The 26,214-nt window shown below is 36.8% G+C and overlaps 1 protein-coding gene across 1 annotated transcript in view; it reads left to right on the top strand.

Moving 5' to 3' along the window:
• Positions 1-26,214, top strand: part of GLCCI1 (glucocorticoid induced 1) — a 120,285-nt gene that overhangs the window by 90,036 nt on the left and 4,035 nt on the right. Inside the window, exons 5-7 of the mRNA NM_138426.4 lie at positions 1,265-1,417; positions 12,090-12,300; positions 26,066-26,186. Of these exons, the coding sequence (NP_612435.1) occupies positions 1,265-1,417; positions 12,090-12,300; positions 26,066-26,186 (485 nt within the window). The remainder of the gene's footprint in view (positions 1-1,264; positions 1,418-12,089; positions 12,301-26,065; positions 26,187-26,214) is intronic.

The following is a 26,214-nucleotide window of genomic DNA, read 5'->3' on the forward strand; positions in this document are numbered from 1 at the left end:
CAGCGTACTGTTGCACAGAAGCCTTGCCGATAACGTAAAATAGTCACTTAACATATTTTGTATGTTTCATGTATTATATACTATATTCTTTAATAAAGTAACCTAGAGAAAAGAAATGGTCATTAATAAAAGCATAAGGAAGAAAAAATATGTTCAGTGTTCATTAAGTGGAAGTGAATCATCATAAAGGTCTTCCTCCCCATTGTGTTCACTTTGAGTAGGCTGAGGAAGAGAAAAAAGAGGAGAGGTTGGTTTTGCTGTCTCAGGGTGGCAGAGGTGGAAGAAAATCTGTATGTAAGTCGACCCACACAGGTCAAACCCATGTTGTTCGAGGGTCAACAGTATTTGAAAAAATACTGATAGTAATATATGAAAAAGAGTTAAAACCTCAATATGAGAAAAGTTCATGCATCAATAAGAGACAAAAGACACTGATGAGCAGCAACTCACAGTTGGCAAGAATACACCATTGTATGGGAAATATTATTAGTGTGCTAACCAATGATTAGCAGTCTACCTTATCACAGATCATGTATGTCAACTGGATTCAGTGTAAGATAGAGGTCATTTGTTTTAATTTTTACCTTATTAATCTTTATTTTTCTTATTTCTTTCTTGTTGTATAAATCCTTAAGTATCAAAAGGCTTGTCTTACACTTTTTCCTTAACAACTATTAGTGGTAGTTAATTTTTGAGAACTCCTGCCAAGGACTTTTGAAAACAGGCTTTAAATTGTTAAGTGAGTTGTTGAACTTAGCATAATACTGTTGCCACATTACTTAATAATCCAACAGATTTTCTGAAATAGTTGACAAGATGGAAATGCCAAATACTAGAACGTAATTGTCACCATACAGAAAACAAACATCTTGTAAACATACTCATACAGAGCTATACAGTAGACTTACATGATACATTTAAGTTACGTGACTTCAACTATGCTGTTCCCGTGAAATAGAAAAAGGAAAACAATGTAAATAATGCAGAAGATTCTGCCATTCTACTGAACAAGTATATACATTATACAGGTATACCTTTATACTTACATAAAGGGATTTGAAAGGATTATTTTGACTATGTAATTTTCATTTTACTTTCTTACTTCAGAACCTAAATTTCTATATGTGCACCTGAATTTTATTGTATTTGAAAGGTCAGAAATAACTCCGTTCATTGAGTTTCAATTTTAATATTTACCATACTCTTTAGTTCTTGATTGCTTTGACCACAAATAATTTGATACCACCTTTATCTTATCTCATAGGCTACTGGATCAAGGTCAGTTCCTATGCCACTGTCAAATATATCAGTGCCAAAATCATCTGTTTCGCGTGTGCCCTGCAATGTAGAAGGAATAAGTCCTGAATTAGAAAAGGTATTCATTAAAGAAAATAATGGGAAGGAAGAAGTATCCAAGGTAAGGTTACATGGGATATTTGAATCCTTTTTTTCTCTGATATAACGAACTGTCTGAAAAGTACTTTCTTGGTAACAGCTTTGTTAAGATATAATTCACATACCATCCAGTTTACTCATTTAGTGTACAATTCAGTGGTTTTTAACAGATTCAGAGTTATACAACTGTCACCACAATCAATTTTACAGCATTTTCATCACCCCAAAAAGAAACATTTTATCCTTTCACAGTGGTCTCTCATTTCCCTGTAATACTCTTGGCCCTAGGCGGTCACTAATCTGTTGATGGATTTTTTGCTGGTTGTTCTAGATGTTTCATATCAATGGAATCATACAACGTGGCCTTCTTAACTGGATTTTTTTTAACTTAGCATAGTGTTTTTAAGGTTCACCCACGTTTAGCCTGTTATCAGTGACTTCCTTTTTATGGCCAAATATTAATCAGTTATATGGATTTTATTTATTCAGTCATCAATTAATGGAAATTTGGATTGTTTTAGTTTTTGGCTATTGTGAATAATGCTTCTATAAACATTTGTATACAAGGTTTTGTGTGAACATACTGTTTGCATTTCTCTTGGGTATATACCTAGGGTTGGAAATGCTAACATGGTAACTCTATGTTTAACTTTTTGAGGAACTGCCAGACTCTTTTCCAAAGTGTCTGCATTGTTGTATATTCCTACCAGTGTATAAGAATTCCAGTTTCTCTGCATCCTCACCAACACTTGTAATTATCTGTCCTTTTTTAATTATAGCAATCTTAGTGGATGTGAAGTGATATATCATTGTGGTGTTAATTTGCATTTCGTAATGGCTGAAGATGTTAAGCATCTTTTCATGTGCTAGTGATCTTTTTTTTTTTTTTTTGAGGTGGAGTCTCGCTCTTTCACCCAGGCTGGAGTGCAGTGGCGTGATCTCGGCTCACTGCAAGCTCTGCCTCCTGGGTTCACGCCATTCTCCTGCCTCAGCCTCCCGAGTAGCTGGGACTACAGGTGCCCGCCACCACACCCGGCTAATTTTTTTGTATTTTTAGTAGAGACGGGGTTTTGCCATGTTAGCCAGGATGGTCTGGATCTCCTGACCTCGTGATCCGTCCACCTCGGCCTCCCAAAGTGCTGGGATTACAGGCGTGAGCCACTGCACCCAGCCTTTAGTGGTCATTTGTATATCCTCATTGGAGAAATATTTATTTAGATCTTTTGCCCCATTTTAAAATTGGCAGTGAAATTGCTAGGTCATAGCATTTGTACATTTAAAATCTTGATGAATATTGCCAGAATTACCCTCCCAAAAGGTTGTACTATTTGACTCTCCTTCAACATTTCATGTTAAGTTTATAATTTTATATATATTACAACATCAAGGAACTCTTTGGACATCATGGCATCTCTGTTTACCATTGAACTCTTTTTTTTTTTTTTTTTTTTTTTTTTTGAGACAGGGTCTCGTTCTGTTGCCTAGGCTGGAGTGCAGTGGCACCATCTCGGCTCACTGTAACCTCCTCCTCCCAGGTTCAAGTGGTTCTCCCGCCTCAGCCTCCTGAGTAGCTGGGATTACAGGCACACACCACCATGCCCAGCTAATTTTTGTATTTTTAGTGGAGACAGGGTTTTACCATGTTGACCAGGCTGGTCTCGAACTCCTCACCTCAAGTGATCCGCCCACCTCGGCCTCCCAACGTGCTTGGATTACAGGCATGAGCCACTGCGCCCAGCCCATTAAAGTGTTTTTTTTATGCATTAAGTGAAGTTTAAGAACAGTCATGTAAAGATGTAAACTTTGGATCTAATTTTTAGAGGATGAGATAATTCACATATTTGCTGATTCCTTAAAAACATCCTCAAAAAGCAAAACTATACTAAAATAAAAAACTTGGTAAGGTACCTCTGCTTTTAATAAGCCATACTTCAATTGTAGCCATATCAGAATCATTCTGGGATAACCTACAAACTTATAATTTTTAGAAGTTTTAGATTTATGATTAAGTGTACCTCAAAGTTTTAATTAAAATATCACCATGAACTGGCCAGTAGCCAAAAAAGGAAAATTGTCTGGTTAACTATGTCAGTATTCCAACATAGTTAACCAGACAATTTGTTCACTTTTTCTGTTTATCAAACAAACTGATAGATAATTAAAAATTATCTTTAGAGTAGAATAGTTATTGCTGTGAAGTTGGTATAGTTTTTGTTTAGCAGCATACTGTAGACAAATGAAGTTTTTAACTTTTAGGTTCAAGGGTACACGTGCAGGTTTCTTACATAGGTAAGTTGTATGTCACTGGAATTTGGTGTACAGATTATTTCACCACCCAGGTAATAAGCATACTACCTGATAAGGTAGTTTTTCAATCCTCACCCTACTCCCATCTTCTAACCCTCAAGTAGGCCCTGATATCTGTTGTTCCCTTCTTTGTATCTGTATGTACTCAATGTTTAGTTTTCATTTGTAAGTGACAATATGTATAGTATTTGGTTTTCTGTTCCTGTGTTAGTTTACTTAGGATAATGGCCTTTAGCACCATCCATGTTGCTGCAAAGGACATGGTCTTACTCTTTTTATGGCTGCATAGTATTCCATGGTATATATGTACCACATTTTCTTTATCCAGTCTACCACTGATGGGCATTTAGGTTGATTCTGTATGTTTGTTATTGTAAACAGTACTGTCATGAACATATGCGTGCATGTGTCTTTATGGTAGAGCAATTTATATTTCTTTGGGTATATACTCAATAATGGGATTGCTGAGTTGAATGGTAATTCTGCTTTGAGTTGAGAAATCACCACAGTGCTTTCCACAGTGGCTAAACTTACTTACATTCCCACCAGCAGTGTATAAGCATTCCCTTTTCTCCACAAACTTGCCAACATCTGTTTTTTTGACTTTTTTGTTTTGTTTTTGTTAACGGAGTCTCGCTCTGTTGCCCAGGTTGGAGTGCAATGGCGTGATCTTGGCTTACTGCAACTTCTGCCTCCCAGGTCCAAGCGATTCTCCTGCCTCAGCCTCCCAAATGGCTGGGACTTCAGGTGCATGCTGCCATGCCCGACTAACTTTTTGTATTTTTTTTTTCTAGTAGAGACAGGGTTTCATCATGTTGGCCAGGCTGGTCTTGAACTCCTGAGCTCAGGCAATCCACCCACCTCAGCCTCCCAAAGTGCTAGGATTACAGGTGTGAGCCACCGCACCCAGCCTGTTTTTTGACTTTTTAATAACCGTTCTAACTGATGTGAGATGGTATCTCATTGTGGTTTTGACTTGCATTTTTGTAATGTGGAGCATTTTTTCATATGCTTGTTGGCCACGTGTATATCCTTCTTTTGAAAAGTGTCTGTGCGTGTGATTTGCCTACCACTTTTCTTCCTTTTTTTTTTTTTTTTTTTTTGAGACAGGGTCTTGCTCCATTGCCCAGGCTGGAGTATAGCGGCACAGTCATGGCTTACTGTGGCCTCAATCCCTCAGGCCCAAATGATCCTTCCACCTCAGCCTCCTGAGTAGCTGGGACTACAGTCCTGTCCCACCACAGCCAGCTGATTTTTTTTTTAATTTTAGTACACACAAGGTCTTGCTAATTTGCCCAGGCTTGCCTCAAACTCCAGAGCTCAAGAATCCTCTTGCCTGGGCCTCCCAAAGTGCTAGGATTATAATTACAGGCATGAGACATCATACCTGGCCATTTGCCCACTTTTTAATGGGATTCTTTGGTTTTTGCTTGTTCATTTGTTTTCATTTCTTAGATTCTGGATATTAGACCTTTGTCAGATGCATAGTTTGCAAACATTTTCTCCCATTATGTAGGTTGTCTGTGTACTCTGTTGTTGAAACCTATTGTTGTGCAGAAGCTCTTTAGTTTAATTAGGTCCCATTTGTCAATTTTTGTTTTTGTTGCAGTTGCTTTTGGCATCTTTATTATGAAATCTTTGCCAGGTCCTGTGTCCAGAATGGTAATTCCTGGGTTATCTTCTGGTGTTTTTATAGTTTCAGGTTTTATATTTAAGTCTTTGATCCATCTTGAATTTATTTTTGTATATGGTGTGAGGAAGGTATCCAGTTTCAGTCTTCTGCATATAGCTAGCGAATTATCCCAGTGCCATTTATTGAATAGGGAGTACTTTCCCCATTGCTTATTTTTCTCGACTTTGTCAAAGAACAGATGGTTACAGGTGTGCAGTATTATTTCTGGGCTCTCTCTTCTGTTCCATTGGTCTATATGTCTGCTTTTGTACCAGTACCATGTTTTGGTTACTATGTCCTTGTAATATAGTATGAAGTCAGGTCATGTGATGCCTCTAGCTGTGTTCTTCTTGCCTAGGACTACCTTGGCTGTTCAAGCTCCTTTTTGGTTCTATATGAATTTTAAAATAGATTTTTCTGATTCTGTGAGGAACATCATTGGAAGTTTGATGGGAACAGCATTGAATCTGGAAATTGCTTTGGACAGTATGGCTTTTTATTTTATTTTTATTTTTTTGGAGACAGAGTCTTGCTGCTCTGTCGCCAGGCTGAAGTGCAGTGGCATGGTCTCGGCTCACTGCAACCTCCACTTCCCAGGTTCCAATGATTCCCCTGCCACAGCCTCCCGAGCAGCTGGCACTACAAGCGTGTGCCACCATGCCCAGCGAATTTTTTGGTTTTTTTTGTATTTTAGTAGAGACGGGGTTTCACTGTGTTGGCCAGGATGGTCTCGATCTCCTGACCGCGTGATCTGCCCACCTCGGCCCCCCTAAAGTGCTGGGATTATGAGCGTGAGCCACCGCGCCTGGCCAGTGTGGCCATTTTAACAATATTTATACTTCCTATTCATGAGCATGGAATGTTTTTCTATCTGATACTGTCATTTCTAATTTCATTGAGCAGTGGTTTGTAATTCTCATTCTAGAGATCTTTCCCTTCCTTGGATAGCTGTATTCCTAAGCTATTGTGAATGTGATTGTGTTCTGTATTTGTCTCTCAGCTTCGATATTGTTAGTATATAGAAACACTACTGATTTTTGTATGTTTTGTTTCTTAAAACTTTGCTGAAGTTGTTTATCAGATCAAGGAGCTTTTGGGTAGAGACTATGGGATTTTCTAGGTATAGAATCATATTGTCTAAAACCAGGGATCATGTGCCTTTACTCTTCCTATTTGTGGCTGTCTTTTATTTCTTTCTCTTGCCTCATTGCTCCAGCCAGGACTTCCAGTACTATGTTGAACAGGAGTGGTGAGAGGGCATTCTTGTTTCATTACAGTTTTCAAGGGAATGCTTCCAGTTTTTGCCCATTCAGTATGACGTTGGCTGTGGGTTTTTCTTGGATGGCTCTTCTTATCTTGAAGTATGTTCCTTCAGTGCCTAGTTTGTTGGAGGTTTTTAACATGAAGGGATGTTGGATTTTATTGAAAGCCCTTTCTGTATCTATTAAGATAATTATGTGGTTTCCGTTTTTAGTTCTATTTGATGAATCACATTTATTGATATGCATATGTTGAACCAACATTGCATCCCAGGGATAAAGTCTGCTTAGTCATGGTGGATTCACTTTTTGATCTGCTGCTGGATTTGGTTTGCTAGTATTTTGTTGAGGATTTTTGCATCTATTTTTATCAAGGATATTCACCTGAAGTTTTTGTTGTCATCGTCATGTCTCTGCCAAGTTTTAGTATCAGGATGATGTTATCCTTATAGAATTAGTTAAGGAGAAGTCCCTCCCCCTCAATTTTTTTGAATAGTTTCAGTAGGAATGGTACTAGCTCTTCTTTATACAGCTAGTAGAATTTGGCTGTGGATCCATGTGGTTCAGGGCTCTTTCTGGTTGGTAGGCTTTTTATTACTGACTCAATTTCAGAACCATTATTGTTCCATTCAGGGATTCTCTCTTCCTGGTTCAGTCTTGGGAGTTTGTATGTTTCCAGGAATTTACCTGTTTTTTTCTGTATTTTCTAGCTTGTATGCACAGAGGTGTTCATAGTAGTCTCTGAGGGTTTTTTAATATTTCTGTGGAGTCAGTGGTACTGTCCCCTTTGTCATTTCTGATTTTGTTTATTTGGATCTTTTTTTCTTTATTAGTCTAGCTAGCAGTCTCTCTCATTCTTTCAAAGAATTAATGCAGGGATTCGTTAATCTTTTATGGTTTTTTGCATCTCAGTTTCTTTCAGGTCAGCTCTGATTTTATTTTTGTTATTTCTTGTCTTCTGCTAGCTTTGGAGTTAGTTTGCTCTTGTTTCTCTAGTCCCTCTATATGTGATGTTAGTTTGTTATCTGAGATCGGATTTTTATGTGGACCTTTAGAGCTTGTAAATTTCCCTCTTAACACTGCTTTAGCTGTGTCCCATAGAATCTAGTATGTTGTATCTTTAGTCCCATAGTTTCAAAGAATTTCTTGATTTCTGCCTTAATTTCATGGTTTACGCAAATGCCATTCAGGAGCAGGTTGTTTAATTTCCATGTAATTATATGGTTTTCAGCAATTTTCTTAGTATTGATTTCAATTTTTATTGTACTGTGGTCCAAGAGTGTGGTTGGCATGATTTCAGTTTTTTTGAATTTGTAGAGGATTGTTTTATGTCCATTCGTGTGGTTGTTTTTATATTATGTGCCATGTGGTAATGAGAAGAATGTATATTCTATTGTTTTGGGTTGAAGAGTTCTGTAGATGTCTATTCAGTTCATTTGGTCAAGTGTTGAGTTCAGGTCCTGAACATCTCCATTAATTTTCTACCTCAGTGATCTGGCTAATACTGGCAGTCGGGTGTTGAAGTCTCCCACTATTATTTTATGGACATCGAAGTCTCTTTGTAGGTCTCTGAGAACTTGTTTTATGAATCTGGGTGCCCCTGTGTTGGGTGCATATATATTTAGGATAGTTAGGTCTTCCTGTTGCATTGAATCCTTTACCATTATATACTGACCTTGTCTTTTTTGATATTTGTTGGTATAAAGTCTGTTTTGTCTGAAATTAGAATAGCAATCTTGCTTTTTTTCAGTGTTCCATTTGGTTGGTAGATTTTTCTCCATCCCTTTATTTTGACCGCATGGGTGTCTTTGCATGTGAGCCTGGTCTCTTAAAGACGCCTACTGTTTAGTCTTGCTTCTTTATGCAGCTTGCCAGTTTGCACCTTTTAATTAGGACATTTAATCCATTTACATTCAAGGTTAATATTGATATGTACATGATCCTTCATTGTGTTGTTAGCTGGTTACTTTGCAGACTTAATTGTGTAGTTGCTTTATAGTGTCACTGTTCTGTGTACTTAATTGTGTTTTTGTAGTGGCTGATAACGTTCTTTCCTTTCCAGATTTAGCAGTCCTTTCAGGACCTCTTGTAAGGCAGGTCTGGTAGTAATGAATTCTCTTACCATTTGCTTGTCTGAAAAGGATCTTATTTGTCCTGTGCTTATGTAGCTTAGTTTGACTAGATAGCCACTTCTCGCTTGGAATAGGCTCCAATCTCTTTTGGCTTGCCAGATTTCTGCTGAAAGGTCTTCTGTTGGCCTCATGGGGTTCCCTTTGTAGGTGGGTGACCTGCCTATTCTCTCCAGCTGCCTTTAACATTTTTTCTTTCATTCCAACCTTGGAGAATCTGATGATTATGTATCTTGGGAATGGTCCTCTTGTGTAGTATTTTGCAGGGGTTCTCTGCATTTCCTGAATTTGAATGTTGGCCTCTTTAGTGTGGGTGGGGAAGTTTTCATGGACGGTATCCTGAAATCTGGTTTCTAAGTTGCTTGCTTTCTCCTCATCATTTTTAGGGATGCCAGTGCATCGTGGATTTAGTCTCTTTACATAGTATTTCTCAGAGGCTTTGTTCATTCTTTTTTATTCTTTTTAAAAAAAATTTTGGCTAGGCACGGTGGCTCATGCCTATAATCCTAGCACTTTGGGAGGCCAAGGCAGGATCACCTGAGGTCAGAAGTTCAAGACCAACCTGGCCAACGTGGTGAAACCCCATCTCTACTAAAAATACAAAACATTAGCCGGTCATCGTGGTGGGCACCTATAATCCCAGCTACTCAGGAGGCTGAGGCAGGAGAATCTCTTGAACCCAGGAGGCGGAGGTTGCAGTGAGCCGAGATTGTGCCATTGCACTCCATCCTGGCAACAAGAGCAAAACTCCATCTCAGAAAAGAAAAAAAAAATTTCGTCTTAGTTCAGAGAACCAGTCTTCAAGCTCTGAGATTCTTTCCTCAGCTTGGTCTATTCTGCTATTAATATTTGGGATTGCATTATGAAAGTCTCATAGTGTGTTTTTCAACTCTCTGATCAGTTTGGTTCCTTCTTACAATGGCCATTTCATCAATCAGCTCCTGTATTATTTTATGGTAATCATTAGATTCCTTGGATTGGGTTTTTGCTTTCTTCTGAATCTTGATGACCTTCATTTCTATATTATGAATTCTTTCTGTCATTTCAGCCATTCCAACCTGTTTAAGAACCTTTGTTGGGTAACTAATGTGGTCAGTGGGAGGAAAGAAGACGCTGTGGCTTTCTGAGTTGCCAGAGTTCTTGCACTGGTTCTTTCTCACCTGTGTGGGCTGATGTTCCTTCAACCATGGTATAATTTGTACAGTCGGTTGACTTTTCGGGATGTTTTTAGAGTCTGAGGCATTGTACAAGGTTTTTATTTGTAGCTGACTTATTGTCCTTAGTTTCACAGGAGGGTTTATTAACTAAGTATTTTCAGTATTGAAGTTTGCACTCTGATTGAAGTTTGATGCCTCTTAAGCGTAATGGCCAGTAGGTAAGCTCTTGCTCAGCCACGTGGCTCTTCTGTATTTCCTCACTATTGCAGCTGCGCTCCCTGTCAGTGCTCTGAAAGTGTGGGCTCCTCTCCTACTCAAGTGCTGGCTGCAGATCTTGGCTTGGCACTCCCAGGCTGCAGCCCTGGGGTGAGCTAAGGCTTTATGTTCTCTCCCAGCTTGGAGGCAGCAGGGGAAGGGACCTTGGCAGTGGCTATGGCAGAGGGCCTTTCCCTTGTCTCTGGGGTCCACCCCAGAGAAATAGCAGAACTGCTGCCAGTCGGTGTGATTGGCTTTGAGTAGGACAGCTGCGTTGTGGGCTCAAGCTGGGGGGATCCTGGGGGAGACAGACTGACCTCTTCTTAGGGCCGTGGCAGCTTGCTGGAGGTGTGGTTAAAGCACTCTGGGTCTTTGCTCCTTTCCTAGTACAAGGGTAGCAAGGGCAGTACCACTGCAGTGGCAGTGGCAGAGGGGCTTTCGGTTGCCTCTGGGAGCTCCACTGCAGAAACACAGATCCGTTGCTACTGGGATGTTCAGCCAGGGGGTGGGGCAGCTGTGCTGCTGGCCTGAGCCGGGAGCCCCACCGGGTGAAAGGTGGGGTGCCGAGGGCTCACAGGGAGGACATGGGCTCCTCTCTGTATGGTGAGTATGTCATGCTAGCAGTGCAAGTAAAGCCCTCGGCCTCTCTGTTTCTTCTCTACTCCAAGGGCAGCAGGGGCAGAACTCTAAATGAAGTTTTCATTTGCATAGTTTCAGATTTCGGCCTTCACTTGTTTGGTATAGAAAATATTGATACATTTTGAATTTCACCTGATTTTACCTTCCTTCATTTCCCCTCTTGACAGTTTTTCTAAAATCTCTGAAATGACAATGATCAGAGTAAGAGCAGTAGACACAATAAATAGTGAAAATAAATTATAAATAAATTAACAGCATATTGGTTCTTTTCCCTAGCACTGCAGTCCTGTGTGTTTAATAACAACAAATATTTTCAATTATATAACTTAATATAGAGAATTTTACTTGTTAACCTCACTTTGTTAGCACACAAATGAAGAATATGGAGTAAGATCTATTTTTACAGAAGCAGAGTAGTAAAGTAGAAAGAGTCCACTGCAGCAGAATCTCTGATGCCACTTAATTAGCTGTGCCACTGAACTATAGGTTCCTCATTTGTGAAAACAAAACAATGGACCAGTGAGCTCTGAGGTACCCTCAAGACCAAAATATGTGGCTCTATGATGATGGTTTCCTTTTTTTCCTTCTTTTTGCTACTGAGAACAAAGTATTCAAACTAAGGAAGATTATGAGTAGTCCTACTTAGTTGGATACTGAGTTAGTAGAATTTGATATCCAAATTCTTCTAATATTAGAATTCTTTTGAGTTACATTAATAAACTCTATTGAGTACTAATAGAATAAACCTCTTTATTAGAAATTTTGGATAATTTGCAAAGGAAATAGAAACTATGGTTCTGTTCATAACCTCTAAAAATTAAACTAGGAAGGAATGAACAAACAGAAAAATCTGTACCTGTGAATATGAGGAATATGAGATTTCACTTTTTCTTACAAGCAAGTCAAAGTGATTTTTTTTTTAGCTTTGTTAATTCTTTCAGCAAATGTTTACTGAATATCTGCCATGTGCCAGGAGTAGTGCCAGGCACAGGACTCCCGCTGTCCTTGAAGAGTTTTGTGGGATGTGCTGACCTACAGGTACATACAGTGAGCTATGGAATTTTTAAGGCAAACAATTTGATTTAAAAGAAATGTTTAGTTCAATAAAGGTAACATACGCAGAAATTAGCTTAAGACACAAGCTTGGTCTTTAGCCTTTGAAGAATAAACTGGGTCAGTAGTGGTGGAATATGAAATCAAGGGAAATACTATGTGCTTTCTATGTAGATGAATATATGCACCAGCATTTGGATGTTTAATGGTATTCCTCTTACAGCCGTTGGACATACCAGATGGTCGAAGAGCTCCACTTCCTGCTCATTACCGGAGCAGTAGTACTCGCAGCATTGACACTCAGACTCCTTCTGTCCAGGAGCGCAGCAGTAGCTGCAGCAGTCATTCACCCTGTGTCTCCCCTTTTTGTCCCCCGGAATCCCAGGATGGTAGCCCTTGCTCAACAGAAGATTTGCTCTATGATCGTGATAAAGGTAAGAATGGAATTGTCCACTTAGAGGGTTTGTTATGGGCCTTGCTCATTATACCTTGTCTTAGACCATTACATCTTTTTTTTTTTCTTTTGTTCAATGGTGACATTGTCAAAGATTGGTTAATCTAGGTTTCTTTGTTCATTGGTTTCACATACCCCCTTTTTTGTGACTCTAACAAACATCTTCCATAAATGTGTCAGAGAAGCACAGCGCATGGTTCTAACAGCTAATAAAAGCCATAAAATGGAGTGTGTACAACTTCATATAATGCATAGGTCTTTTCCTTGGTATTGTCCAGAGCGGATGATGGTTATGGTAAAGTTAGCTTTACCATGGTAAAATCAAGCTTAAAGTTAGATTTTATAATCAGATTGATTTGCGAGGAAATAATTTCTAAAAATTCTGTTGGAAAAAGTGAGTGTATTTTTAACCAAGTTTATAAAGCTTAGTGAGTATCTACAGGACATCAGGGATTTTATTACAGTATGTAGATAAATTATTAACTGTTGAGAACATCTGGGATTCTTATTTCCTATCAAGCCCAACTGTCTCTCCATGTTCTTCTATCCTTGTGTCTACTTGTGTACACCAACACTTCCTGGGTTCTTTCTGTTTCTAGCCCCCTAAGACCTAGCTACAGAAGGCCATATAGACTGCCCAGCTTCTTCCTTCCTAGCTACTTACAAAGAAACACTGAACTTATGTTTATAACAAATTTACTGCTTGTCACCATAGAGAAATAGGTCAATGGCAACAAAATTGTAAAACTATAAAAAGTTAGACAGTTTATAAAATCTTGCAGGAGTTTTATGGTCCTTGTTCTGAATTGACCCCATCCCCTATGATTGATGTATTGTTGTAAGTAAAATGCCCAGATCATAAGTGCTCAGCCAAATGAATTTTTACATATGTGTGTGCTCCTGAAACCACTACCTACATCAAGTATAGATATAGAAGATTTTTATTATCCCACAAGGCTCCCTTGCGCCTCTTCCCAAATAGTATCCTTCCTCTCTCCACTTGAAAGTAACCACTTTGCTGACTTCCATCACTATAATTTAATTTCCCCTGTTACTAGACTTCATAGAAATTGAATAATGTGGTATATATTCTTTGTGTCTGACTTCTTTTACTTATCATTATACCTAACTCTTCTAAGATATTAAATGGAAGCTACTTTGGACTTTGTCCTCTGCTTTTCTATGTGGGTAGATCTTAACAGTTCTCCCCTTTCTTGTTGACTCTTTCATTACTGAAGGCCTTGTGGACCCCCTTCCTTCATTAAGGATATATTGAATATAGTACCAGGTGTCTTTGGCTTCATGTGGGAAGTCTCCATTTCTTAAAATGTCAGACTAGGAAATTTTCATTTCACTGAAGCATCCTGTGAGAATAAACACCTTTAATCACTTCCTCACAACCTTTTAATGTGGATGTTTCACAATAAAACATCTTGCTTCCAGTAGGAGTGTTTGTTTTGAAGGTAAATGGAAATGATAAATAATAGTAACTTGTTTTAGGTTGTGTAGGTGGTAAATGGAGAAACCAGTCTGTCTTCATTCCAAACTCATATTCTTTGTTATTAAGTACAGTTCAGGTTGGCCACTTTTGCTACTTAACACTTGTAACTGGGGTAAAAATGAAAAGTAGAAATAATGGTGGCAGTACAGCTAGACAGTTAAGTCTGGAGTTCTGTTTTCTTTAATACTGTGGATAATTGAGAGATGCTGAACCAAAAAGAAAATGTATTGAGAGGATGGTAAATGAGTTCCATTTTGGTTAACTGGTTGTGAGATTGCCTTCAGGGCCTCCCAGTGAATAGTGGTTTCTGTAGTTCACAGGTCTTCACTTACATCATAAGTTTCAAACAGTGCATGTTCTTTAATATATAATAGCTCTTTTTCCTAAATATGTATAATCAATTTTATTATGAGAAAGTATAATCATGTCACTCTCCTGCCAGGGTCTTTTGCAGGAGACATTGTAACATAGAAGTTAAGAGTAGCACTGGCTTTGGGACCATAGGAATGCATTTGAATCCTGGGAAGTTTTGGACATAAAACCTGCATTAATTCTCAAAGATTTAATGAATGGTAGCTGCTGCTATAAAAATAGTCACCTTTATTATCACCTGTTAGTTTCCCTAATCCTTTCAGGAAAAAAATATCAATTATTTAATACACAGCTTAGTCAAAACCTCCTTCCCTAGCCTAGTTTGTGTCAATTATCTAATAAGATGAATTCTGACCATTTCTTAGACAGATTAGACCTTTTCCTAAGTTTGCCTTTGTTGGTATATTTTCCTCTGTGCCCTTTTGTTCCTACATACCAGATATCTGCCTGCATAACACTAATTTCTTTATATTCATCCTCTTGTTTTTTTAATATGTAAAATGAGAACATTGGTTCAGATCATCTCTAAAGCTAAGGTTTTTTTCCTAATAGTTAAAAAATATTTCTTAGTAAAATAGGGTAATAATACCTTCCTCATATCATTGAGGTTACATGAGATACAGCAAAATGCTTAGCACAACTTATTGGCACATGGCAAACAATTAGTGGTGATGAATGTTGCTTAATAGTGATTTTTTTAAAATCTCTTTAGAAGTTATATAGAATGGGTTTCAGAATTATTTAAGACATTTCTCTGTTTTCTACAAGATCACCTCAGTTTGAGAATTAAAGCCCCATGACATCAGTTTCATAATATCTACCATATTTAGCTGAGAGGCATTACTTTGTGATTAAGATCAAGTTGATGTTACTACTCCCTGGAAAACTGTGTAGCTCTCTGTTATGCAATACAAGGTTTCTAGTTCTCAAATCAAATACCATCTTTATAAAGAGAAAATTAAAATAGCACCTATCCCTTTTATATATGTAACTATGCACACATGGGTGTGTTAGAATTGGGAGTTGAGGTTTATGTATTTCAACTGAGGTTATACTTCTAGTTTATTTAAGGAACACTTATTGAGCATTTATTGTATGTCAGATATTGTACTGGAGAGTGGAGAAATAGAGATGAATAATATGTGATATCTGTCTTTAAGGAATTTATAGTGTAGTAGGGAGTAATTAGGAATGTAAACAAATAATACACTATTATAAATACACTATTATACAGTGATGTTTAGAATACTAAAAGTGTAAAGGAGGGAGTTGTCCAGAAATTTTACAATTTCTGGAACTAATATATGTCATTCAAACTGTAGGCTAGTTTCTGACTCATTTCTTCTTTATGTAAGGCCCAAACTCTGGGTTTTGCTATTTTTAAATATACTAATTATTTCTGTGATCCCAGCATTTTGGGAGGTCAAGGCGGGCAGCTCACTTGAGGTCAGGAGTTAAAGACCAGCCTGGCCAACATAGTGAAACCCCATCTCTACTAAAAATACAAAAAGTTAGCCAGGTATGGTGGCATGCAGCTGCAGTCTCAGCTAATTAGGAGGCTGAGACAAGAGGATCACTTGAACTTGGGAGGTGGAGGTTGCAGCAAGCCGAGATCACGTCACTGCATTCCAGCCTGGGCAACAGAGCAAGAGTCCATCTCAAAAAAAAGATACTAATTCTTTCCTATAATGTATGTTTTCTACAATAAATCATAAATTGGTGTTTTTTTATTAAAGACATAAAAGGAAGCTGTATAGCTTTCCTAGAGCTTTTCATCATTATGAAAACAGAATTAATTATATAATTTTGAAGTCAACTAGGATTGATTTGATTTGGAGTACCTACATGTTCTGCAGTTGCTGTGGAGAGATTTGTTCTGTGGTAGAGTAACTAGTTCAGACATCTGTAGGAGCCTGGATAGACATGGAGGGGAGAGGGATAGCTGCAGTGAATAGCTGCCCTAATGAGGGATGTGCTGGTGAGCTGATTATTTTTCTAGTATTCATTTTATATACGTATTCTTTTTCTGACTTTGCTAACATCATTTTTGTGTGTTCCTAACATCTATTCGCTATGAATTATGTATAATTTGAGACCTATAAAATAATTTTGTATTATCAATGTGCATCGCACATTGGTTTTTTTCTTTGCCTGTATGGATTGTAATGCCAGGACAAAAACACTCTGTCAAGAAAGTTTCAGCTATTGAGAGACTTGTTTCAAGTGAATGGGTTTTTGGCGTTTCGTTTTGATTTTTTACTAGATTTTTCCAGTGACCTAAAGACTGAAGGGAACTTGGTCACACTGGTCACATGTGTAAAGTTTCCAGGCTAACTAATAGCCATAGGAACTACTACTGCTCTTCTCTGTGTGGAGAATTCAGAGATCCAGAATGAGAGCACTCATCTTGACATCATCAGAATGTACCCTAAGAGGTAGCTTACATTCTTCCACATTATCATACCCAAAATAAAGTTCAAGGAACAAAAATAGCCATTTATATAATACAGATGGCAGTGTCGGAATATTAGTTTCTTAAGCAGCTCTGCCAGCGTTGCTTGATGGTAGCCAAACTGGTGCTGGTTAAGCCACAAAATGTAGACTTCAGTCAGCTACTTATCATTGATCTTTGGCACAGTTCACTTATGCAGTTGTTATAAAATTCTGCAATTTTGCAGGATATTGTGGAAACATTGATTATTGTAATCATGAAATAAATGGAATCGTTTGATTCAGGCCAACTACTGAGTAGAGTTGTATTCCAAGAGTCCCTAAATTGATTACTTGTAATTTAAGCTATATTTTCCTGAAGGAACAGTGTACACTATGTGGATAGAGTTTCCCAAGCCAATGCATGTAAGCCTATTTAACTCATTCTGTGATTTAACTCATAAATATTCGTATTGCTAAACTTTTAGTGTTAGGACTGAGCCTCCCTTGGTCTTAGGAGAAAAAAATCAAAAGTATTAATTTTGTCTTTTCAGGGTCTAGGGTTGACCCTAGGCAGACTTTTGAAACAGACTGCTTTTGGCATCTTCCTATTCCTTTATACGTATATTTTAACATACTTGTATTTATCTCTAGGGCTCTATTTCTTGACCTTTTTTTGACCTATGCCCTTACTATGCTTTAACCCTCTATTTTTTAGATAAATCAGCCAAGATTTTATGGCACTTTTCTTTTGGGGGTTTATATTGTAAAAGCAGATATGATGGGTATACTACTTAGAGCTACCACACCTTGAAAAATCACTGCTTTTGAATCTGGATGCGTTTATCAAAATATTCTCTTTATATGGTTCTAGGGCGCTTATTATCCTAGAAGGACCTTTTGGTGGTAAAATTACAGCATATAAAGATATTATTCCAACAAAGGAGTTAGTCTATAGGTTAAAATTGATCTATTCTAGAATTCATGTCCCTAAGGTCATTTTACCTGTCTTTCAAGAAAGCATCTTAAGATACATACATTCCAGTGTCTAACAGCACAAAATAAGTATCCAGTAAATGCTATTGTCCCTTCTTTCTGAAAATGTTAACAATTTTAACAATGGCAGATACTGTGATAGCTATGAGTTATTATTCATAATTCAAAACTACTTAAATATACAACTCAGTTTTAGCCATTATTGCTCAGTTTAGAATATAAGCAAATCAAAAATTTTTAACATACCTGCATATATATTTCACTTAATTGTTTGTCTATTTACCATGATGTTAGCTCCAACAAGAGTAAATGACCATATTTTGGTCAGTGCTTTACTCTCAGTGAATAAACTAGTGCCTAGCATGGTGTAGTGCTTAATGGAGATTTTTTTGAGTATTAAGACCTTTGTTCATGATATGCCCATTTTTTAATGGATATATTTTTATAGCTATGTTGAAAATGTGTTTTCTTTGAATTGTTAAATTTTATGTTAGGCTTTTAATGTTTATGAAGAGTGTGTGATACTCTTCATAAAAATAAAAACCAAGAATAATTAAACTAAGATTATGCTAAATTTAGTGATAGGCTTTTGGTGGGAAAGAGGCCATGAAGTTCAAATTTGCTGTAGAAATAAGGGGAAAGGAAGTAACTGCTAAAACTGTCTCATCTTCCCCTTCTTGCTGTTGGTCATGCTGGTAACCAGTAAACTCTGATAGTAACTGGGTGGAAAATAATAGGGTGTCACCTAGGTTCAAGGAAAAGGGAATCTGTTGGAGTTTTCCTCCCCCATTATCTTTTGTGTTCCTCTGAGAAGAAGTATCAACTCATAGGGACCACTCCTTACACTATCTCCTTGTGACACTGACAGAAGGCAGACCCAGTGAAGCTCTTGCCTGAGCCATAAGCCTTTAATTAGAAACAGAATATTAGATTGGAAGGAACTTGATCATCTAGTCAGCTCCTCACATCTCTAATAAAGACACTGGAGTTGAGATAGACCCAAACTTAGTGAAACAGATAGCATAACAATAATCAACATTGACTCTGGGGCAGCCAGGTTGAAGCCCTGCTCTGCCACTTAATTATGTGCCCTTGGACAAGCTACTCAATCGATCTGTATCTCCTCACCTATAAATTGGGGATAGCTGCCTCATAGAATTGTTATGATGATTAAATGTGTTCAGGTGATTTTATTATTTCCAATATTACCACAGTCCTTTAGGTAGGTGACATTGTCATTATTAAAGGTGCCAGAATCTGAGGCTTAGAGAAATTAAGTAACCTAGCTAATTTCCATGGCGTCTACATGCCAACAAAGATATTTTGTAGGAACCTGATTACATCTTGCTGCCTTTACAGAAGGAATAGTCTTTATATGGGCATTCAGCTGTGAAAGGGCCCGGTGTGTACAGAACAGTAAGAAATTGAACGGTTGGGGTATAGGGGTGAATGGTGGAGAGAAGAAAACAGTGAGACTGGAGATTTAGAAAGTCCACTATTTAGGCCGGGCGCGGTGGCTCACGCCTGTAATCCCAGCACTTTGGGAGGCCAAGGCAGGCGGATAACGAGGTCAGGAAATCGAGACCATCCTGGCTAACACGGTGAAACCCCGTCTCTACTAAAAATACAAAAAATGAGCCGGGCGTGGTGGCGGGCACCTGTAGTCCCAGCTACTCGGGAGGCTGAGGCAGGAGAATGGCATGAACCGAGATCACACCACTGCACTCCAGCCTGGGCGACAGTGCGAGACTCCGTCTTAAAAAAAAAAAAAAAAAAAAAAGGCCACTATTTCATAAGAGTCCTTGTAAGCTTTGCTAAGAGAAAGAAAAGCCAAGGAAAGATCTTTTGTCAGCTAAAGGATAGGACCAGCTTCACATTTAAGAACTATAACTCACGTTGACACAGAAGTAGAGGCAGTAGGAGGGCAAGATAAGTAGCCATGTTAATAGTCTAGTCTTGTGATTTTCAAACTTGATTTATTCCACACCCTTGTCAGCAATTTTGAATCTGTACCCCTAATAAAAGTTTATATATTTCTAGGTGATATATGTATATAATTCATTCTACAAACTGTTAAAGTTTACCTGTTTTAAAAGATTAAAAGTGTGTATAAATGTAGAAATAAATATATTTAATTGCTCTATTTTTTCCTACATGTCAGCAGATTGTTTCATGCCTCTTAACTGGGAGACCACAGGTATAGGGCAAAGATGAGGAGACATAGCAAGGTCAGAGGAACTGGAGGAAAGGGGCTGAAGAAGAGTCAACAGCATTTGGTGGCCAATTAGATGTATGAGGTGAGGGAGGAGGAGGAGATCAGGATAACAGCAAAGTTCTTATGAAGTTCCAGCATGGGAGATGTGGAAACGATTACCATCATTAATAAGGTAGTAAATATTGGAGATGGAACAGACTTTAAGGTGACTATAATGATTAAAATTCCATGTTGGTTTCTGCCTAAAGACATTATAATACCATTTTCCTTTAGCAAGAATTTTTTTAAAAAGAGGAAATGCTAAATTTTATCTAATGTTGCACTGACAACATTGATAGCATTTTGCTTTGCCTTCTCTTTTGAACATAGTAAATGCTTAGTAAATATTTAAGTGAATATTTAAAATTGTAGTGAAATTTTTATTAGAAGTTCCAATGTTCTTTTTTCCCTAAATGTTAGTAAAGTTTACTTGTTTTTAAAGATAAAAGGTAAATATGTATAATGCACTGATTTTTTTTCCCCACACGTCAGCAGATTGTTTCATGCCTCTCTTATTGGGAGACCACAATTGTAGGATACCTTAGGAGCAGTTTAACATGAACAATATGTTCTGTTTTTTGTTTTTTTAAAAACTGATGTTCCTGGAAATTTTGCCATTTAATAAACTTGACAATATAAAAATTAAGATTGTATTACAGTGATTTTCTTGAGATACCTACTTTTGCGCAAGATACAAAATATTTTGTGCAATCCAATTTATTTTGTTTAGTTTTACCATTAAGATTTACAATCATTATTTTAGTCTATAAATTGCTTTGAGGACACTTTTCAGTTTTAACTGTCATATCAGATTAAAAGTGAGTTGTTTTCATTTTTAATTGTCATATCAGATTTAGAGTGAGTAGTTAGCATATCAACAATAATGATTAGCACTGTTGTTCTGCATATCAAGATTATGTTGTGGAAGAAGCACTGTACTTATTTTGACTACACAAAAACAAAAGAGTAACTTTTTGGCTTAATTTGTAAGTTGGCATCAATTTAATTCATACTTATGGAATGAGAAGTGATTACAAAATATAAAATACCTCCTACATATAATAAATATATAATTAATGGGCCTTGGAATGTAAGTTGAGTCCCGGTTATTAAAAAATCAATCTGATTTGAAACAAAGTTTATAAATGTAAGTAATAAAAGGTTCTGATGTCATTTTTCCCCTGTACTCTTTGCTGAATGCTGATCTAAAGGAGATCTTACATATAGCTGATGTCTTGGTTCATTACAATTCTTTAGTATTCTCACAAGGTGTTAACTTTGAATTTTAGAAAAACCTTAGAGGCTCTTTGTAAAAGCCAAATGTTCTCCTTACTTCTAAGTTTCCAAGTTGGTCTTGGAGTTAACTGAAAATACAGGCTTTTTAATACAATTGGTAATACAACCTGATTCTTAAAGTTCATTGCCAAGAAATGATACACAATTGTGTGTTTCTGCTGATTTCATTAGGCCTTCAAACCCCATTATAGTTGATAATTTCATTTCCTGAAGCAAAATAAGTATATTTTAACACTAGAGTAGTAATTTTAAGTACTATTCAGTCAATCATATTTCTAATTTAATTCTCTTGGCCAATTTTATGCTTTAGTATGTCATTGAGTAAAGTGTTGGTTGAACAGTGTACTCACTTTCCTAGTCAGTTAACTACCTGGGAAAGATAGAATAAGAATTACATTCTACTGCTTATTGCTGCATATACTATGAAAGTATTTTCTTTGCATAGTAGTCTATAGAATCTGCATGCTTTAAGCATTGATTTTAATTTCAGGATGATAGATCTCTTTACACTAAAGGATGCCATCATGAACTGACAGAGTTCATGTCAGGCAGTTATAAACCTGGACAACCTGGTACTCCAGATATTATTCTGCTTCTCTCTCAGAAATAAAATTGTATCTGTATGTACCGGAGTAGAGTACACAAATCTATTGAAAACATTTCCTTTACTCTCTTCTGTCAAGAGGGAGCAGAATAGGCACTTAATTTTTGAATGGTTCATCATTTTTAATTTTCAAATTAGAAATGATGTGTTACTTTTTACTATAATAATAATATTCAGCGCTTACTGTGTTTCAGGCACTATCCTAATCCTTTTTTTGTTTGTTTTTTGGTTTTGGGGTTTTTTTTTTTTTTTTGTAGAGAGGGTTTCCCCATGTTGGCCAGGTGGTCTCGAACTCCTGGCCTCAAGTGATCCTCCCGCCTCAGCCTCCCTAAAATGTTGTGGTTACAGGCGTAAGCCACCTCGCCCAGCGCTTATCCTAATCCTTTTACATATATTTTTCACAGCTATCATGTCAGTGGTATTTTCTATTTTATAGATAAAAAAACAGAGGGATCAGACTTACCCTATGCCATGCACCTAGGCCTAGGAAGAAGTCAGGTGGCCTCACTCCAAATCAATGTTCTTAACCATTTCATGATTGGTTTTCAGATATGGCTGTGCTTCAGGTGCACGTGGGAGCTTTACCCCCCACCTCCCTACCCCAAGGCAGTGCTTGGCTCCTCCCCAGACTAATTAAATCAGAATATTTCAGGAATGAGGTCTAGACATTGATCTTTTTAAAACATCTGATAAGTCTAATGTGAAAGAAAACTCTGGTTAAGAACCACTATTCTATTATTGCTTGTTTTAGAATCAATTTTACTTAATTTAATAAAGTAATGTGATAGAGATAAAACCCATCTATAGACTTAGGGCTAGAATAGAACCATGGCAGAGATTTTACATACTACCTGCATAAATGAATCAACCTTTATATATGTGATATATATATTTTTGAGACAGGGTCTCACTGTCACCCAGGCTGAAGTTCAATGGTATGCTCAAATGTATAATTTTTTATACAAGAAGTGTGGGCCCCACAATATACCAGATATAATAAAAATCAGAAGAATTTCAGAATACTCAAGCTATACAAGTACATGTAGTTTAATGAATATTGTTTCTATATGAAATTCCAAACTTGAATAACTTCTCTAATTTTTCCAAACTCTAATTTATTATCATATGTTTAAAAGTATTTCAGAAGCTACTCGTATTTTAATGGTAAATATGGTACAGATGCATATGTGTGATCTGTTTTAAAACAGCAATCACATTTTTCCATATTCTTGATTTTCAGAGTTGAGTGATTGTTATAAATATATAAAAATGAGACTTGTGAATACAGAAAGATGTGAATAACTATATTCACTGCATTTAATTTTATTGACATTAGCTATGATGTTAAAAGTCATAAAGTAACATTTAACCTAATCTCAACTGTATTTCTAGTTATGATCCTATATTATTCTCCGGAATACCAGAATGAGAAAACTTACCATTACTGGTAAACAAGAGAGACTCAATTAAGATTACCATGAGACTTCTCATCTTGAATCTCCTGAGCAGGCATATTTATATTTATAATGTTGTTATTGAAATGTGGCTATTAAATTCAACACAGAGTTTTAAATGAATAGTAATAGTTTGTACATTCAAGTCTGGAATGAGTAGCATAGGTTGGTCATATGGGTTGTTTTTAAAGCGTGCTGCTTTGTAAGGCAAGAAAAAATATATATGTAAAATATGTCTTCTTTGTATGTTAGAACTATTAAAGAAAAATCACAGAATTTTAGAGTTCATGAATGGCAATTCCTTTAATTATATAGAAATCCAGAGAGATGATTGTACTCCAGGTAACATAGAACTATACAACAAGAGCTAAAGCCACAGACTAGATGTCTCCATTCCCTGACCCCTATTTACAGTCTCTCTGATTGCATACTTAACCTGAAGAAAAAACTCCAGATTTAGCAAATATTTGTTTATAGTCTCAAAATTTTTTTCTTACAAGCTTTGCCTTTCCAGACCATCTAACATTAAATACATATTCAATTAAAAAAAATTTTTATTGAAAAGATATAAACCCTGCCTGTCTAGGATAGCAGTATATTTGTTTACTTAACATTAATACCCCCAAAAAAAGCAGAATAATGTTTAAGAGGGTAAAACTCTGTTAAAAGATGCACTTACAGCCTCTGAAATTAGAAATATTTTAAGAAGAAAAATTACTTATTCTAGATTGTTAACAGGAAGATAATCAGTTTTGCAGATAGATTAGCCAACTCACATCTAGCCTTCAGTTATGAGAAAGTCCTTTGAAACCATCAGTAAAATACTGAAAGAATGTGATAGGCCTGATGATGTAGTAAGAAAAAGAACACAGAAGACTGTGGCCAAGATGACTTTTCTTACGTGATAATAGAGTGGATCCTTAACTACTGACATGACTGCTAATGGTATCAAGCTGATGCTAATGGTATCAGGCTGATGCTGCTTGTGCCGTGTAGGCTAAGTTATGTCCAGCAGTAATCTCCATGGAGGCATCTCATGCCATATCTACTTGTATTTTTTTATTTTTATTTTAAAAATTTCTGTGGATACATAGGTGTATATATTTATAGGGTACATGAGATGTTTTGATACACGTATGTAGTGTGAAATATGCACATCATGAAGAATGGGATGTCCATCCTCCCTACTTACTTGTATTTTTGATCTCATATATTTCCTTTGCCTGGTTTGTTGCTGTTTGCATAGTAAGGTAAGGTCAAGCCATATTTTTTATATTACACCAAATTTGAGGCCTTATTCTCATCAGATGTTTGGTTTTTTGTTTGTTTGTTTGTTTTTATTCATGGACCAGTCTTGTCTAGCCTAGCTTAAATAGGGCAGCAAATTCAGACCTCCAATCAGGCTAATTATGCTTTGTATCAACCTGAGACAATCCTATTCCTCCTCCTTCCTCCCATTTGTTCATGCAAGATGTAGGATAAATATTAAACTTAAGAAAATTCTCAAATCTGAATGGTATATGAAGAAACCAAATTTCATTCTAAGACTTAATTTTTTCCAAGAGGCTCTTTGGTGCCTACTCTGTAGGATCATACATAATAATGATAGAGAAACTGTGTGGTTTTCTAGCTTTCCCAATAGTATAACGTTATTATTTTGCAGACAGTGGTTTCCCAGCCAAAGTTATAGCCATGTTCAAATATAAGCATAAATCTGCATTCACAAGACTCTAACAAGCATTAGTGTGCATCAAGGGTCTTCTTCCTAAGCATGTGTTATAACTTCATTAATGATGATAAAACATTCTTATTAGTCAGATTTTAAATATTGGACTGTGTTCTATATTCTAAACTAAAGCAACTTATCAAAATTGTGATGAACATAATTATGATACTGTTGCTATCTTCCCAATAGATGAAAATAATACATTTCAATAGATCATGTGCTTAGTATTTTAGCAGTGGGGATAGGTTTGCATTAAGTCAGAATTTGTTTAAATAGGACTATTGTATACAAACATGTCACTGACTTTACAACTTGGCCTCTTATAAAAATAATGACACATTTTAGTGGATTTGAATTTCCAAAATCTCTTGCCAGGTAGGAAAGGGAGAAATTGCATATGGGTTTTATGGCTTTTCATGAATAGACCATTTTCTTTTTGGCCAAAAATATGAGGAAAACGTGTTAGGTAGAGATGTTTGGAGATTTTGCATGTCTTCTAGTAGCAAAAATACAAATTCTGCTGAAAAAGCCCTTTTATTATAAACATTTTAAAGGTAAAATTCTGAGCAAATTGTTTTTTATGTTGGGTAGGTAGAAAGAGACATTTTATAAACTTGTTTTTTTCCCCTGCGTACGTGTTATTCATGATATTTAGCAAAAATAACATTTCTGCTAAGAACTTTTGTAATGAACATTATTCATTTTCGTTAAATTGGTTGGGCAGTGAGAAGGCATGTAGAGAACCCTGTATCATTATAATCTGTTTTATTCTTCTGTGTGACTTAAGCACATTGCCCCATCATTTGCATTCTTGAAATACGTAATAAATAACATATTTGTTTTCAGGATTACAGCTCTGTTGTATTCAAAATGCAGTTTTCTGGACCAAAATGTCCTTTTTATGTTCTATGGTGTGGCAGATGACTGTTGCATTGCAGTTTTTATTTAGAAGAAATGTGCTACACAGGGTATAAGAAATAGCTTTGCAATAAAGGAGACTGGTCAAAGCATAGGGGCAGTAGTGGATAAATTGTGCAAAAGGCTGTTTGTTTGGAAATCAAATTTAAAAGAGCTTTCAATCACTAGTTAATATAACTGCTTTAAATTTACAGACAGTGGGAGTAGCTCACCGTTACCCAAGTATGCTTCATCTCCCAAACCAAACAACAGCTACATGTTCAAACGGGAGCCCCCAGAGGGATGTGAGCGAGTGAAGGTCTTTGAGGAAATGGCGTAAGTAATGTCTTTTTTGTCAGCTGGG

The sequence above is a fragment of the Homo sapiens genome, chromosome 7 (assembly GCF_000001405.40).
Source record: "Homo sapiens chromosome 7, GRCh38.p14 Primary Assembly".
Lineage (NCBI taxonomy): Eukaryota > Metazoa > Chordata > Mammalia > Primates > Hominidae > Homo > Homo sapiens.